Source organism: Homo sapiens, chromosome 12 (genome assembly GCF_000001405.40).
Source record: "Homo sapiens chromosome 12, GRCh38.p14 Primary Assembly".
Classification (NCBI taxonomy): Eukaryota; Metazoa; Chordata; class Mammalia; order Primates; family Hominidae; genus Homo; species Homo sapiens.
In genome coordinates, this window is record NC_000012.12 from 19,387,368 (window position 1) to 19,405,339 (window position 17,972).

The window sequence follows — 17,972 nt, forward strand, 5'->3', positions numbered from 1 at the left end:
GCTTCTAGCCATATCCCCGAAAACTGTCCACAAGCAAAGATGAGGGAAGCAGCTGCTTCTAGTCAAATTCCCTAACTTGAAGCTTACAAAAGAAGAAATACAAGCATTGGATAAACATATGAACAGATGCTCAGTATCTGTGGTAATCAAAGATATGCAAATTAAAATGATGAGTTATCCTTTTTTACCCATCAGATTGGAAAAGACTAAGAAGAGTGATAATGCACAGAGTTAGCAGGATGTAGGGAAAGCGATGTACTCACATGGGAATGGTGGGAGTGTAATTGATAAAACCTTTCCAAAGCCTTACAAATGTATCCTCTTTGACCCAGCAATTCTACTTCTGGGAATATATCTCCAAGAAATCACCTGGTGAGTACCCAGAGGCATTTCGCAGTTTGTTTTAGATGTGGTTTAAATACAGGGTCTACTTATCTCTGGCCTGGCAGGTGCGGTGGCTCACACCTGTAGTAATCCCAGCACTTTGGGAGGCCAAGGCGGGCAGATCACCTGAGGTCAGGAGTTCAAGACCAGCCTAGGCAATATGGCGAAACCCCGTCTCTATCAAAAAATACAAAAATTAGCCAGGCTTGGTGGCACACGCCTGTAGTCCCAGCTACTCGGGAGGTTGCAGTGAGTCAAGATTGCACCACTGCACTCCAGCCTGGGTGACAGAGCGAGACTCTGCCTCAAAAAAAAAAATAAAATAAAATAAAATAAAATAAGTAAGTAAATAAATAAATACAGGGCCTACTTATCTCATGCCATAAGAAGTCCAACGTGGGGAGGGAGTGCAGGGCTTGCTGGAGACTCCAGGGTGCTATGAAGAAGCCAAGCCCCTCTCTCCCTGTTCTATCAGCAGTGATTGCTCCAACTCAGGCATTGCCACCTGTGCAGAACGGGAAGCCAAAGAGGCATTCTCAGCTGTCTCCTTTTGTGTCTCTGTGCTGTTGTGAAATATATATTAGGTCTTCATCTGGTTTCCTGCTCCTAAAATTCTTGGAATCTCCATAGTGATGAGTGTTTTTTGAGACAGGATCTTGCTCCATCACCCAGGCTGGAGTGCAGTAGAGCAATCACAGCTGACTACAGCCTTGACTTCCTGACTTCCTGGGTCCAAGCAATCCTCCAACCTCAGCCTCCTGAGTAGCTGGGACCATAGGTGAATGCTGCCTCACCTGGTTAGGTTCTTGTTTCTTTTGGTGTTTTGTTGTTGTTGTTGTTTATTTTTTTTACTTCTTTCTCTTTTCTCTTCTTTTTTTTTCTTCTTTTCTTCTTCTTCTTCTTCTTCTTCTTCTTCTTCTTCTTCTTCTTCTTCTTCTTCTTCTTTCTTCTCCTCCTCCTCCTCCTTCTTCTTTGTGTGGTTTTATTTTGTTTGTTTGTTTTATAGGGACGAGGTCTTGTGATGTTACCCAGGTTGGTGTCAAACTCCTGGGCTCAAGCAATCTTCCCGCCTCAGCCTCCCACAGTGCTGGATTACAGGCGTGAGCAACCACTTTTAGCCAAAGAGTGTATTTTGTCTGCTAATGAGAAGACTCGTAGCTGAGGCTCCTAGATAGGCTCTGGTTGGGGATTCGTTGTCAGGGGAACTAACTAGATGACTAAAGGGTTGGACCTCTCAGCCCCACCCCTAGACCTATGGGGAAGGGAGAAAACCTGAAGGTTAAGTTGATCAGCAATGGTCAATGATTGAATCAATCTTACCTGTGCCATGAAGCCTCCATAAAAGACACGGTTCTGATGAGCTTCCAGATGATTGAATGTATGGAGGTTCCTGGAGAGTGTGGAAGCTCCACACCCCTTACCCCATACCTCACCCTATGCATCTCTTCATCTGTATCCTTTATTATAAACCATCAGCGTAAGTGTTTCCCTGAGTTCTGTGAGCCCTCCTAGCAAATTAATCAAGCCCAAGAGAGGGTCTGGTTTGTAGCCAGTCAGAAAGTCTGGGGAGGCACGGACTTGTGATTGGCATCTGAAGTGGAGGCAGTTTTAGTGGGGCTGATCCTTCCACCTGTGGGAACGGACACTATCTCCAGGTATGTAGTGTCAGAATTGAATTAGAGGACACCTAGCCGGTATGCGCTGGAGAATCTGCTGGAGGTTTGCTTGGTGGGCTGATGGGGAGAAATCCACACACATTTTGGTGAGCAGGTGTGCTATGTCAAATTGAGTGGTCTCAACACAGTCTCATATTCTCACTGGCCAGAACCAAATGACATGGCCACCCTAGCCATCGGGGTGTCTGGGAAAACAAGTGTTTCTCTTCCCAAACTTTAGAATAGAGAAAGGCAAGGAGAAAAGAGTTGAAATGGGTGTTGAGTGAGCCAAGCTGCAAAAAATATCCCACAAACTAACATCCACCTCACAAACTAAATGTCACCTGCAGCGAACTGGTTAAATAAATCAGAGACTATCCAGTGCATGTTGTTCCTTATTGTATGGTGTGGTTAATCTATGAAAAGCTGTTCACTGTATATGTAGTAAACAGGGCAGTTTATAAAACAATATGTCCTGCAGGATCCCATTTTGTTAAAGAGACATGTATACTATTCATTCACAGAAAAGCCTGGATATACACGATAATGTTCATTCTGGATCTTCTTTAAACACTTCCACATTCTATGATTTATTTTTGGCAAGAAATCACGTCTTTGTTTTAGAATAAGGAGCAGAAAGTAAATTTCCATTTTTAGTTTCCCATTGGGCCAGAAACTGGAGATAAACTAGTCAGTTAAAATCAACCTGATGATGCCTTCTGCCCCCCACGTGACCTCTAAATGTTAGCTGTAAAACTTTGTGAGTTGAGTCAAAGCCAAGTTTAAAGGGAAAACCATAAATAAGCCATTTTGGAAAATATAGCTATTGGCAATCTGTTACATTTCACTTGTATTTCTAAGAGGACACACTCCAGCACATCCCTAGTTGCCTGACTAAAGCTCGCTTGGTAAAACAAAGTGATAATTATTTCAGCAATAGGCTCAGCGCACAATCATGTAGAACCTGTTTTTGAAGGAAGACTGATTGGCATGCCAAAAAGAAAGTCTTGGGTCAGGATGCTAAGTAAAAACTTATTTGTGAAATGGTCTGGAAGAATTTGATAGTGTGAATGTATCATCTCTGAGGAAATCTCAGGAACATCAACATAAAACAAGCTCTCCTTTGAGTTTCCAGTGATTTGGTTCATTTGCTTGTTTTTTGGAATGACTCATAGTTGATTTAAAACATTGTAATAGACAACTTACACAGTTACCTTTTTTTTTTTTTTTTCTGAGACAGAGTCCTGCTCTGTTGCCCAGGCTGGAGTGCAGTGGCGCGATCTCTGCTCACTGCAAGCTCCACCTCCTGGGTTCATGCCATTCTCCTGCCTCAGCCTCCCGAGTAGCTGGGACTACAGGTGCCCGCCACCAGGCCCGGCTAATTTTTTTGTATTTTTAGTAGAGACGGGGTTTCACCATGTTAGCCAGGATGGTCTCGATCTCCTGACCTCGTGATCCACCTGCCTCAGCCTCCCAAAGTGCTGGGATTACAGGCTTGAGCCACCCACCACGCCCGGCCACAGTTACATTTTAAAATCAAACCTAGCCCTAAAAAAATAATACCAGCATAACATAAGTCTATTATCTTGTCTACTATCTTGATCTGAAGAGAACTCTAGGCTTTGGTCCTTAACACCATCTGGGCTAAAATGTTCTGGGAGACTCAAGGAAGGACTGTGATTGCTTTCAGAGAGACAATAACCAGTTCTCGTAAGATTCCTGTGGATGGACCAAAAGTAGACTCAGCACATACATTTTGTGGAAACAACATATAATCCGTGGCACATCTGCCTCCTTTTACAAAAGTAAAAGAAATAAGAATTTAAAGGAAGGAAAGAAAGTGGAATCTGGAAGCAGTAAAAAGGCTATAAGCTTGAGGATTGGAGGCAGAAGGGAGCAAGGATCAGAAGGTGCATCAGGCATCAGGTTCAACTGAAGAGAACAATGAAGGTCACAGCCAGCAATAGAACTCACTGAGAATCTTCATAAATGTCTGATGAAACCACCAAAGAATATATTGTTTAAAATCTATTTTTATTTTCTTTTATTTTACTTTATTTTTGAGACAGAATCATGCTCTGTCGCCCAGGTGGGAGTGCAGTGGTACGATCTCAGCTCACTGCAACCTCTGCCTCCTCGGTTCAAGTGATTCTCACGCCTCAGCCTCCTGAGTAGCTGGGATTACAGGCATGTGCCACCACACCCAGCTAATATTTGTATCTCCTTTTTTTTTTTTTTTTTTTTGGAGAAGGAGTTTCGCTCTTGTTGCCCACGCTGGAGTGCAATGGCGCCATCTCGGCTCACTGCAACCTCCGGCTCCTGCGTTCAAGCTATTCTCCTGCCTCAGCCCCCCGAGTAGCTGGGATAACAGGCATGTACCACCACGCTCGGCTAATTTTGTATTTTTAGTAGAGACAGGGTTTCTCCATGTTGGTCAGGCTGGTCTCAAATTCCTGACATCAGGTGATCCGCCCACCTCAGCCTCCCAAAGTGCTGGGATTACAGGCATGAGCCACCACACCCAGCCGTCTCTCTCTCTTTTATTGTGAACAGGGTCTCACTGTGTCACCCAGGCTGGAGTGCAGTAGCATGATCCTGGCTTACTTCTTACTTCAGCCTCAACCTCCTGGGATCAAGCAATCCTCCCACCTCAGCCTACTGAGTAACTGGGACTATAGGCTCATGCCACTACACCCGGCTAATTTTTAAATTTTTTTATAGAGACAAGGTCTCACTATGTTGCCCAGGCTGCTCTCAAACTCCTAAACTCAAGCAATCTTCCAGCTCCAGCTGGAAAAATATGTATATGTTTTGCTCTTTGTTGCCCAGGCTGGAGTGCAATGGTGTGATCTCAGCTCACAGCAATGTCTGCCTCCCGGGTTCAAACAATTCTCCTGCCTCAGCCTCCCAAGTAGCTGGAATTACAGGAGCCTGCCTCCACACCTGGCTAATTTTTTTTATTTTTAGTAGAGATGGGGGTTTCACTGTGTTAGCCAGGATGGTCTCGATCCCCTGACCTCATGATCCGCCCACCTCGGCCTCTGAAAGTGCTGGGATTACAGGAGTGAGCCACTGTGCCTGGACTGTTTTGTTTTTGTTTTTGTTTTTGTTTTTTTTTGAGACAGAGTTTTGCTCTTGTTGCCCAGAGTGGAGTGCAATGGCACGATCTTAGCTCACCGCAACCTCTGCCTCCTGGGTTCAAGCGATTCTCCTGCCTTAGTCTCCCGAGTAGCTGGGATTACAGACATGTGCCACCACACCCGGCTAATTTTGTATTTTTAGTAAAGACGGGGTTTCTCCATGTTGGTCAGGCTGGTCTCGAACTCCTGACCTCAGGTGATCCACCTGCCTCGGCCTCCAACAGTGCTGGGATTACAGACTTAAGCCACCACGCCCGGCCCTGAGGTATTTTAAGTAGGAGATTGACAGGACCAGATTTGCCTTTTGAATAGATAACTGTGTCACTTTTGTATATTCATACAATGAAAAGGTTATGCTGCACTGAAAATAGACTTGGATGACACGTCTCAGCATGAAAATTTCACACAGATGTAAGATTAGTGGGCTAGGGGTAGCGACCAAGTGACAGAAGGATACATACAATGTAATTTTATCTATATAAGCATAAAATATTCATGAAAATATACACACACATATATGGACACATAAATATTGTAAAAATATAAAGACCTGTGGAAAAGGATAAATGGCAAAATCAGGTTATAGTTATCTCTGGAATGCTAGGCCGGGCAAGGTTGCCCATGCCTGTAATCCCAGCACTTTGGGAGGCTGAGGCAGTGACAGAGCGAGACTCCATCAAAAGGAAGGAAGGAAGGAAGGAGGGAGGGAGGGAGGGAGGGAGGAAAGGGGAAGGGGAAGGGGAAGGGGGAAGGGGGAAGAAAGGAAGCATTATGCTAAGTGAAGAACGAATTTACAAAAGGCCACATATTGTATGATTCCATTGATATGAAATATCCATCATAGGCAAATTCATAAAGACAGAAAGCTGATTAGTAGTTGCCAGGTGCTTAGAAAGAGGGAAATGAGAAGTGACTACTTGATGGGTATGGGGTTTCCATTTGGGATGAAGAAAAGGTTTTGTTAACGAGGTCATGATGTCTGCACACTATGAATGAATGTCTGCACATCATGAATACCTGTACTTAATGCCACCGAATTGTACACTTTCAAATTGTTAAAATGGTAAATTTTATGTTATGTGCCTTTTACCACAATTTAAAGGGAAAGAAAATGAGGAGGCTCAGGTTTGTGCACTTAACCATACCACTCATCTAACTTTATGTACTTGCTCATGCTTCACAGAATGTAGAGATCCAGGCTGGGTGTGATGGCTCACGCCTGTAATCCCAGCATTTTGGGAGGCTGAGGTGGATGGATCATCTTAGGTTGGGAGTTTGAGACCAGCCTGGCCAACATGGTGAAACCCGGTCTCTACTAAAAATACAAAAATTAGATGGGCGTGGTGGCGGGCGCATGTAATCCCAGCTACTAGGGAGACTGAGCCACGAGAATCACTTGAACCTGGGAGGTGGAGGTGACAGTGAGCTGAGGTCATGCCACTGCACTGCAGCCTGGGTGACAGAGTGAGACTACATCTCAAAAAAAATAAATAAATAAAAAATAAAATTAGAGACTGTGTCTCAAAAATAAATAAATAAAATTTAAAAATAGGCCAGGGGCAGTGGCTCACACCTGTAATCCCAGCACTTTGGGAGGCCGAGGCGGGTGGATCACGAGGTCAGGAGATCGAGACCATCCTGGCTAACACAGTGAAACCCTGTCTCTACTAAAAAAATATAAAAAATTAGCCGGGCGTGGTGGCCGACACCTGTAGTCCCAGCTACTTGGGAGGCTGAGGCAGGAGAATGGCGTGAACCCGGGAGGTGGAGCTTGCAGAGAGCCAAGATCACTGCCACTGCACTCCAGCCTGGGCAACAGAGCGAGACTCCGTCTCAAAAAAAAAAAAAAGAATGTGGAGATCCAAGTTGATCAAAAAGACATGGTGTTCCCTCTGCTTGAGACAATCTCCTTTCAGGCACACATGAACTCACACCCACACACCCTTTCCTTTGTTCTAGGAAATCCTACCTACCTTTCAGCTAAGACCTCACTACTTCCAGAAATATTTTCCTGACTGCCTTATGCCTCTTGGGACAAAACATCCCTCTATTGTGTACTTCACAGCTTTAGCTTCTTCCCTATTGTAGCATTAATAGACTTGTGAGTCCCCCACTGTATCCCCACGGTATCTCCCGACTTAGCAGAGTGTTATGCACATAGTAAATCTTTGCTGAGTGAAAACATATGTTATAAATATCTTGTTTTTTAATAAAAAAGATTATTATCTCTCTGTCTCCCAAAATTACAAGGATCTGGAATCTCACAGACAGGAGGAGAGAATAGGGCGGGACACTATGGCTCATGCCTGTAATCCCATCACTTTGGGAGGCTGAGATGGGAGGATCACTTAAGCCCAGGAGATGAAGGCTGCGGTGAGCAAGCATTGGGCCACTGCAATTCAGCCTGGGCAACAGAGTGATGAGAACTTGTCCAAAAAAAAAAAAAAAAAAAAAAAAGGTTAACCAAGTTCTGAGCTGTTAACATGACAGTAATAACAGACTTTTTTTGTTTTTATTTTTGTTTTTTTGAGACAGAATCTCACTCTGTCATCCAGGCTGGAGTGCAGTGGCGCCATCTTGGCTCACTGCAACCTCCGCCTCCCGGGTTCACGCCATTCTCCTGCCTCAGCCTCCCGACTAGTTGAGACTACAGGCGCCCACCACCACGCCCGGCTAATTTTTGTATTTTTAGTAGAGACGAAGTTTCACCATATTGGCCAGGCTGGTCTCAAACTCCTGACCTTGTGATCTGCCTGCCTTGGCGTTCCAAAGTGCTAGGATTACAGGCATGAGCCACTGCATCCGGCCTGGACTTATGTTTTAAATGGTGCTAATCTAGATTAATTAATTAGAAAAACCTCCTTTGAGCACCCACCATGTTTCTAGTATTGTGTTCCATGTGGTTTAAGTTGCATAAGACACAGTTACAACCCAGAAGGATCCTGTACTACCACTGCTCAAGCAATGGGGTCACCCACAACTTCATCACTTTTCTCTCCTCCCTGCTCCAGTTGTGCAGCAATGATCCCTCCACTTCTATTCTTTCTCTCTTCCTACCAGGGACCAGTTCTTCAGCGAGGTGCTGGGGATAACAGCATGAGCCAGACTAGAGACCCTGCTTACGGTTTACTTACCCATCATCCTCAGATATCCTAGATGAGTTTTCTCATCTGTATAAAAAGGAAATAGGGACTGGGCGCGGTGGCTTATGCCTGTAATCCCAGCACTTTGGGAGGCCGAAGTGGATGGATCACTTGAGGCCAGGAGTTCAAGGCCAGCCTGGCCAACACAATGAAACCCTGTCTTTACCAAAAAATGCAAAAATTAGCTGGGCATGGTGGCATGTGCCTGTAATCCCAGCTACTCGGGAGGCTGAGGCAGGAGAATTGCTTGAACCCAGGAGGGGGAGGTTGCAGTGAGCCAAGATCACACCACTGCACTCCAGCCTGTGCAACAGAGTGAGACCCTGTTTAAACAAACAAACAAACAAACAAACAAAAAGAGGAAATAGAGTTACCTGATCCTGAACCTGGCCCTAAGGTATGCTTTCAAAATAGGTTATTTCCCTTTCCCTCCTCTCATTTGACCAAGAGCTATGAAAGAAGTGTTGTGTGCTCAGAAAGTCCAGCTCCAAGTTCAACCAGCCAAGCATGGTGACTCACGCCTCTAATCCCAATATTTTGGGAGATCAAGGTGGAAGGATCACTTGAGGCCAGGAGCTCAGGAGGTCAAGATCAGATTGGGCAACACGGCAAGTCCCCGTCTCTTAAAAAGAAAAAAAAAATTAAAAAAGAAATTGGCCGGACGCGGTGGCTCATGCCTGTAATCCCAGCACTTTCGGGGGCAGAGGTGGGCAGATCATGAGGTCAAGAGATCAAGACCATCCTGGCCAATATGGTGAAAACCCGTCTCTACTAAAAGTACAAAAAAATTAGCTGAGCATGGTGGCATGTGCCTGTAGTCCCAGCTACTCTGGAGGCTGAGGCAGGAGAATCGCTTGAACCTGAGAGGGGGAGGTTGCAGTCAGCCGAGATTGCGCCACTTCACTCCAGCCTGGGTGACAGAGCGAGACCCCGTCTCAAAAAAAAAAAAAAAAAAGAGGGAAATTAGTCACTTAGGAAAATAATACCTTTTCTTTTTCTAAATAAAATACAAACAGAGTCTTGCTGTGTTGCCGACAATTGTCTTGAACTCCTGCTCTTAAGTAATCCTACTCCTTTGACCTCCCATGGTGCTGAGAACAGGCGTGAGCCACTGCACCCAGGCTGCCTTTCTAAAATAGAAAGATGGCTTTCAAGGCTGGACGCAGTGGCTCAAGCCTGGGAGGCCAAGGTGGGTGGATCATTTGAGGTCAGGAGTTCGTGACCAGCCTGGCCAACATGGTGAAACCCCATCTCTACTAAAAATACAAAAATTGTCGGGCGTGGTGGCTCACACCTGCAGTCCCGGCACTTTGGGAGGCCGAGGCGGGCAGATTACCTGAGGTCGGGAGTTTGAGACCAGCCTGACCAACATGGAGAAACCCCGTCTCTACTAAAAATACAAAATTAGCCATGTGTGGTGGCGCATGCGTGTAATCCCAGCTACTCAGGAGGCTGAGGCAGGACAATCACTTGAACCCGGGAGGTGGAGGTTGCAGTGAGCCGAGATGGCACCATTGCACTCCAGCCTGGGCAACAAGAGCGAAACTCCATCTCAAAACAAAACAAAACAAAACAAAACAAAACAAAACAAAAATTACCTGGGCATGGTGTTGCGCACCTGTAGTCTCAGCTACTCGGGAGGCTGAGGCAGGAGACTCTCTTGAACCTGGGAGGTGGAGCTTGCAATGAGCTGAGATCTCGCCATTGCACTCCAGCCTGGGTGACAAGACTGAAATTCTGTATCAAAAAAAAAAAATTTTAAATGAACCAGGCATAATGGCACATCCATGTAGTCCCAGCTACCTGGGAGGCTAAGGTAGGAGGATCACTGGAGCCCAGGAGTTCTAGGCTGCAGTGAGCTATGATGGTGACACTGCACTCCAGCCTAGGAGACAGAGCAAGATGTTGTCTCTAAAAAAAAACAAAACGAAAACCTTTCTTTATCAAATTCTTATTTCGCCTCCGGGGACTCCGCCCCATCTAAGATAGTCTGCCTTTGATAGCTGTTTCAGCTGCCTGCTGAATCTTGCCTACAAAGATTACAAACAAATGACACATCATGAAGCCATCTTGCTGGCAGGTTGGATGAGAAAGTTTTCCATCTGAGAACTTGCTCTGGAGCTGTGCTGAAGGATAACAGGTTGTAACTTGGCTCTAAACTCTGGGACTGTTCAGCAGGTCCCAGTGGTGACCTCCAGTTATAATTAGGCAATGACCCATAAATGTGCAGACAGATTAGAAAATTAGAGGAGGCCAGCAGCGAGTCTCATGCCTATAATTGCAGCAGTTGGGGAGGCCAAGGCGGGTGGATCTCTTCAACTCAAGAGTTCAAGACAAGCCTTGGCAACATGGTGAGACCCCTGTTTCCGTTTCTACTAAAAATACAAAAATATGTGTGTGTGTGTGTGTGTGTGTGTGTGTATATATATATATATGTATATATATATAGCTAGGTGTGGTGGTGTGCACCTGTAGTACCAGCTACTCGGGAGGCTGATGTAGGAGGCGGGAGGATCACTTGGGCCCAGGAGGCAGAGGTTGCAGTGAGCCCAGATGGTGTCAGCCTGAGCGACAGAGTGAGACACCATCTCAAAAAAAAAAAAAAAAAAAAATTAGGGGAGAGAGACAGGGATTTTTTTTTCCCCTGCACCATGTGTCTCACTTAAAACATTGAGATGTGGCCTGGCACAGTGGCTCCCCCCTCTAATCCCAGCACTTTGGGAGGCTAAGGAGAGAGAATTGTTTGAGCCCAGGAGTTCAAGACCAACATAGGGAGTTCAAGGGAAACACAGGGAGACCCCATCTCTAAAAATATTTCAAAAATTAGCTGGGTGTGGTGGCTCACACCTGTAGTTGCAGCTACCCAGGAGGCTGAAGAGAAAAGATCACTTGAGCTCAGGAGGTCAAGGCTACAGTGAGCAGGGCATGGGGCCACTGCATAGCAGCCTAGGTGACAGAGCAATACTCTGTCACAAAAACAAACAAAAAACAAAGCAGCAACATAAAGAAAACAACCAAACATTCAGCTGTGAAATAATTGCCTTTAAGTAGAGTATGTACCAATTCACTCAGCTTGTTGGACTCTGATGTCAATGAGGCCAGGAGCTTACCCCCCCCGGGGGGCCAGGAGATTCAAATACAGGCAACATTTCTTCCATCATCAACATCCCTACTTCCAATTTGTCATCGCAAAAGTGCTGTTATTCCCAAGGGATTTTAAGGAGGTGATGTAGACAGGACATTTTCAACACTCCTGGGGAAAGTGTGTCTTTATATATTTGTAATGTCAGATCAGTAGTATCATCTTGATATTCAAGGGACTGCCCTATCCTAAAACATAAACTTGAGAAACTTATGTTAAGTGAATAGCATGGAAGTTAATGGTCAAATGCAGTATGTCTCTTACCAAAGGAGACTTGGACACAGAAGAGCCTCACATTTGTAAATGCTTTAAATCCTGATTTCCTTTTAGGTCACAAGTCTGTCTTCCCTTGCCAACTTCATACGTAATGCAATGGCATCAGCTTTTGGTGAAAGCTTGATTGATTCCTTCTTCTTCTTCTTTTTTTTTTTTTGAGACGGAGTTTTGCTCTTGTTGCCCAGGCTGGAGTGCAATGGCGCAATCTTGGCTCATCGCAACCTCTGCCTCCCAGGTTCAAGTGATTCTCCTGCCTCAGCCTCCTGAGTAGCTGGGATTACAGGCATGTGCCACCACACCCAGCTAATTTTTTTGTATTTTTAGTAGAGTCGGCGTTTCACCATGTTGGCCAGGCTGGTCTCAAACTCCTGACCTTGTAATCCGCCTGCCTCGGCCTCCCAAAGTGCTGGGATTATAGGTGTGAGCCACCACACCCGGCCGATTCCTTCTCTTTCAAAAGCAATCAAGAGAATGAAGCAATTAAACTTAATAACACACAGTAGAAAGAAAACAGCTTTGTTTGTGTTTCAGTCCTACCTTAGGAAGATCCTGTAGCTTTGCATTAATTTTAAAGAATTTTATGACAATAGTTATATTGGTTATTCGTATACTCCTAATTGAATCAACCTGTCCCAACAGTTCAAATTTTATGGAGTTAAAGTGTTCTTAAGTAATTAAATAGAAGGTTTCTTAGTAGGATATTTAAGGGCATTTCAAGTGAATAAGGCCAGCATTATAGATCTAAATTATGACTCGGGCTCATCTTACACATAGGCAAACATTAAGGACCTACTAGCCTACTTCTTCCTAAATTATACAGGGCAACAAATTGTTGTGATTCATTTTAATCAGTAGAGATTAATAAACTTCCTGAAATGGTTCTTTATAAGTTTTTAACTAACTCCCTCATTAAGATTTCCTTACTAATCGACCTGTAGATGTAATCAGTGCCTAGTCCTTTATGGCCTTACTAATATGCCAATGCTATGCTTGCTATATGAATATAGAGAAGACTTTTTGTATACTGATTGGAGCCAAACAGATAAAACCTAAGTTTTATTTCCAAATCTAATTTTGTGTGTGTGTGTGTGTGTGTGTGTGTGTGTGTGTTTTGAGACAGAGTCTCACTCTGTTGCCCAGGCTGGAGTGCAGTGGCGCAATCTTGGCTCACGGCAACCTCCGCCTCCCGAGTTCAATTGATTCTCCTGCCTCAGCCTCCCAAGTAGCTGGGATTACAGGCACCTACCACCACACCCAACTAACTTTTTTTTGGATTTTTAGTAGAGATGGGGTTTCACCATGTAGGCCAGGCTGGTCTCAAACACCTGCCCTCAGGTGATCCACTCACCTCGGCTGCCCAAAGTGCTGGGATTTCAGGCGTGAGCCACCGCGCCTGGCCTATTTTTTTTTTTTCTTTTTTGAGATGGAGTCTCGCTCTGTTGCCCAGAGTGCAGTGGCGCAATCTTGGCTCACTGCAACCTCTGCCTCCCGGGTTCAAGCATATCTTCTGCCTCAGCTTCCCGAGTAGCTGGGATTACAGGTGCGCACCACCCCACTGGCCAATTTTTAAATTTTTGGTAGAGACAGGGTTTCACCATGTTAGTCAGGCTGGTCTTGAACTCCTGACCTCGTGATCCGCTCTCCTTGGCCTCCCAAAGTGCTGGAATTACAGGCTTGAGCCACTGCGCCTGGCCTTCAACTATTTCTTTTAATTATTTTTGAATTTATTTTTTATTTGACTGACTTTTATTTATTTATTATTTATTTATTTATTTGAGACAGGGCCTCTGTCTCAAAATGGCATGATCTCAGCTCACCTCAACCTCTGCCTCCCAGTCTCAAACAATCCTCCTGTCTTAGCCTCCTGAGTAGCTGGGACTACAAGTGTGCATCCCCATGCCTCGTTACGTTTTGTGTTTTTTGTAGAGTCAGGGTTTCTCCATGTTGCCCAGGCATGTCTCAACTACTGGGATCAAGTGTCTGCCTGCCTCTGCCTCCTGAAGTGCCGAGATTACACTGAGATGACATGCCTGAGCCACTGCGTCCAACTGTGTTTTTGGTTTTGTTTTGTTTTGTTTTGTTTTGTTTTGTTTGAGACAGAGTCTTGCTTTGTCACCCAGGCTGGAGTGCAATGGCAATGGCACGATCTCAGCTCACTGCAAACTCCACCTCCCAGGTTCAAACGATTTTCCTGCCTCAGTCTCCCAAGTAGCTGGGACTACAGGAGACTGCCACCATGCCAGGCTAATTTTTTTTATTTTGGTTTGTTTGTTTTTTTGAGACAGAGTCTCGCTGTTACCCAGGCTGGAGTACAGTGGCACGATCTTGGCTCACTGCAACCTCCGCTTCCCGGGTTCAAGCGATTCTCCTGCCTCAGCCTTCCAAGTAGCTGGGACTACAGGAGGGTGCCACCAAGCCCAGTTAATTTTTGTATTTTTAGTAGAGATGAGGTTTCACTATATTAGCCAGGCTGGTCTCAAACTCCCGACCTCAGGTGATCTCCCGCCTCGGCCTCCCAAAGTGCTAGGATTACAGACATGAGCCACCATGCCCGGCCTGTTGTTGTGTTTTTGTTTGTTTGTTTGTTTTTCTATTTTCAAGATGAGGTCTTGCCATGTTGCCAAGACTCATCTCAAATTACTGGGGTCAAGTGATCCACCTGCCTCAGCCTCCTAAAGTGTTGGGATTACAAGTATGAACAACTGTGCCCAGCCAAGTTTTTAAATTTTATTTTTATTTCCCCCTTGAGGATGTCACTTTAATACTTACAGTTTACTGTCAGCTACCTTTGGCTCCGGGTGCTTTCAGTGATGCAGATTCTGTATGTGCTCCTTGGTTAAAGAGAATCTTTGTGCAATGGCTTCCTCAGATGCTGGTTGTAGTAGCAAGGTACAGGCTGTGTACATTGTTTCACTGTCTCTTGTGGGGCTGGAATAGCAGAGGTCTCACGAAGCTTACCTCATTCCCCAATGTGCACACTTAAAGAAGTTTTTCCCCCAGTATTTTATTCACTGGGTTGAACAGTTCAGGCTTCAAGCCAGTAGGAGTTACCCATGGGTAGAAACTGGCTGCAGCTAAAGCAGGTGGGTAAATGCAATACCCCAATGATTGGCAGAGGCCCCACTCTTGACAGAGGCAGCTGAGGAGGCTCTCAGCGAAACGCACTGTCTTTTCAGGGGGAAGAGAGGGAGCCACCTCAGCTCCCTTGCCAGGTCAGCAGGAAGCGGATCTACCTCCTAGTTACACTTCTGACCCAGCATTCCGACTGTTCTGGTGAGACAAGCACCTCTGTTCATCTGCAGGAATGCTGTTGTTCCACATAGAGAGGGACTGCGACTCTCCCTCTCATGCAAGCCTGAACCTGGATGGCACTCCTCCTGTGGGGTTGCAGTCACCCTATAGTGTTCCAGAAAGGTTGTCTACGAATGCACCTATGCCAAGTTCTCATGGGGGAAGGTCCAGCTATGTCTGCAGTGGTGGGAAAGGGAGAGGAGAAGTTCTCTTCTCCAAGACCCTTCATGAGTGCCAGGGATGCTTGACTATTGGGGTAGGGCCACAGACTTTCCTCACTGAGCCTACCACTGAACCTGTGGCTTTGCTGAAAGAAACTTCCCACAAGTGGAAATACTAGGAACTCAAGTCCTGCAGCCTGGTTTCTTTTGTCCCAGAGGGTGCTCCCTTAAGGTAGTACACTTCCCTTTCCCCTAGGAGTAGCAGTCCCTGAGGGCCAGACTACTGTGAATACTGCTCCTCTGGGTCTAGCTGCTCAGTGGGGCTGTCACACTCCAGATTGGTGCTGGGGAATGTCTGCAAGGGATCCAGAGATGTGACCTGTCCTCAAGTCTCCCAGCAGCAGGTACCAGCACCAGCTCTGATGGGGTCAGGAGGAGAGTGACACAGACTCTGAGATTTCCTTGGTTACAAATGGCTTAGTGTGTTGGCCTCCTCAAATGCCAGCTGTCGTAGTAATGTACTGGGCATGTGGACAGACTCAAGACCTCCTAGTTAGCCAAGGTGATGCAGGCAGTGGCAATAGCTGAGGTCACTCAAGTTTTCTCCTTCCTGAACACTGCGTTATTGTGTCTGCAAATGTACTGGGCTGCACTGGTTGGCCTCCAGCCAGGAATTGGTGCTTGCAAAAAGCGCCAGCTGTGGTGGTAGCAATGGAATTTGTGCTTGCCTTATGTCACCCAGGAGAAGTACTCTGGCCTCTCAGACCATGGGTAGGGCCATGGAGCTCCACTCCTAAATGTCCCAGTCCCTTGTGTTACACTATCTGTGCGGGTGGATTGGCAAAACCAGGTGGGGGCTGGGTCAGGCAAGTCCACCCTCCGGCTCCCCAGATGTAGGCACAAGCAGTGGCCTTAGTGGGGATCAGAGGGAAGTTTCCTGGCTGCTGGAGTAATGTTCCAGGGAAAAGCACAGCTGCCTCTGCTGCACGAAAGAATCTGCATGGGGAACCGAGGGTAGCAGGCGGCAGTAAGCCCCAAACAGCTCCCACCCGCAGTGTTCCACTAGCAACAGTTAGGTAGGTTCCAGGCAGCCTGCACTCAGAACTCAAAAATGCTCCAGGCCGGCGGGGCGCGGTGGCTCACGCCTGTAATCCCAGCACTTTGGGAGGCCAAGGCAGGCGGTTCACGGGTCAGGAGATCGAGACTATCCTGGCTAACACGGTGAAACCCCGTCTCTACTAAAAATACTAAAAATTAGCCAGGCGTGGTGGCTGGCGCTGTAGTCCCAGCTACTTGGAGGCTGAGGCAGGAGAATGGCGTGAACCCGGGAGGCGGAGGTTGAAATGAGCCAAGATCACGGTACTGCACTCCAGCCTGGGCGACAGAAGGAGACTCCGTTTCAAAAAAAAAGCTCCAGGCCATAAGCCTTCCTAGAGAGATAGCAACCCTGGCTTTCAGGCCACGCCCCTCCCAGCGTCCACCTGTAAAGCAAGGGCAACCAGCTCCTTCGCCGCACTTCCCGCTCGACCCTCGGTTCTGGACAACGGAGATCGTCCCCAGTCAAGGTGATTATATCGCAGATCTCACTTGGGAGCTTCTCTTAACCTGTGACCATCGCCTGAGTTAGCTGGCCGACTTCCCAGCGGTCCTTTGTGAGGTAGGATCAGGAATGGCTTCCCTCTGTCCCTGCGTGAGTCTGGGAGTGCGTGCAGAGCACTTCCCAGAGCCACTCTTTCTCACACATTCCCCATCACTCACTAAATCAGCAACAGCTGGGTAGGGTTAAGGCCTTCCCCTGTGGCCTGGGTTGCCCAGCTCTTTTAGGGCGTGTGTGGCATGGCGGCCATCGCGCTTCCTCTCAGGCTCTGAAAACTCAACAGTTTTCTACTTCACAGTGTAGGGTGCTACCCACTGCTTCTTTCAAAGGGTCTGTGGTTTTCTGTTAAGTTCCTGTGTTGCTTCTCGGAAAAATGTTCACAGTGTGAATCTCTACACACTATTCTGTCTTTCCAAGTGGGAGAGGCACGCTAACACCGGCTCCTATCCGCCATATTGGAAAAACAAGGTTTCAAAGATTTTCTGATTTACAACTGGTTAAGGAAGGGAAGCATTTATAAAGACTGGGTTCCGCAGAAAAGAACGTTGGGTCTGGCTCGTGGGTGTGGCTTTCTCCAGGCTCCTCAGGAAGAAATTTAGAACAAAGAATGCGGGAGAGTTGAGTTCTCAGTTCTCCCTTATCTGAGGTCTATGTGGCAGTGGATCCATTTGTTAGGGATCCATGTTTATGAAACGCAGGGCCATATGTTACGATATTATTTTTAGTTTCTATAGGGAACCAAACATCTCGTGATTCCAACTTCCTTGGCTACTCTTTTTTTTTTTTTTTTTTTTTTCAGACAAGGTCTCACTGTGTTGCCCAGGCTGGAGTGCAGTGGCGAGATCTGGACTCACTGCAACCTCTGCCTCCAGGGTTCAAGTGATTCTCCTGCCTCAAGCCTCCTGAGTAGCTGGGACTACAGGCATGCCCCACCACGCCCAGCTAATTTTTTGCCTTTTTAGTAGAGATGGGGTTTCACCATGTTGCCAAGGCTGTTCTGGAACTCAAGTGATCTGTCCGACTCGTCCTCCCAAAGTGCTGGGGTTACAGGCGTGAGCCACCTCGCCCAGTTGGCTATCGTTTTAGGCTACTATTACCTTCTTGCTTATCAAATTGCTTATTTACTTCTCAGCACTAGCTAGGTATCTGGAATTGTTATTTTTATTTTATTTACTTATTTTTT

General features: G+C 46.3%; 1 protein-coding gene across 2 annotated transcripts in view; it reads left to right on the plus strand.

The window, feature by feature from the left end:
* Positions 1-16,704: 16,704 nt before the first annotated feature.
* AEBP2 (AE binding protein 2) overlaps positions 16,705-17,972 on the plus strand; it is a 118,156-nt gene continuing 116,888 nt past the window's right edge. Inside the window, exon 1 of one of the 2 annotated variants that reach the window (XM_047428299.1) lies at positions 16,705-16,849. The gene's annotated coding sequence lies outside the window, so the exon portion shown is untranslated. The remainder of the gene's footprint in view (positions 16,850-17,972) is intronic. The other variant, XM_017018806.2, reaches the window with a different exon arrangement.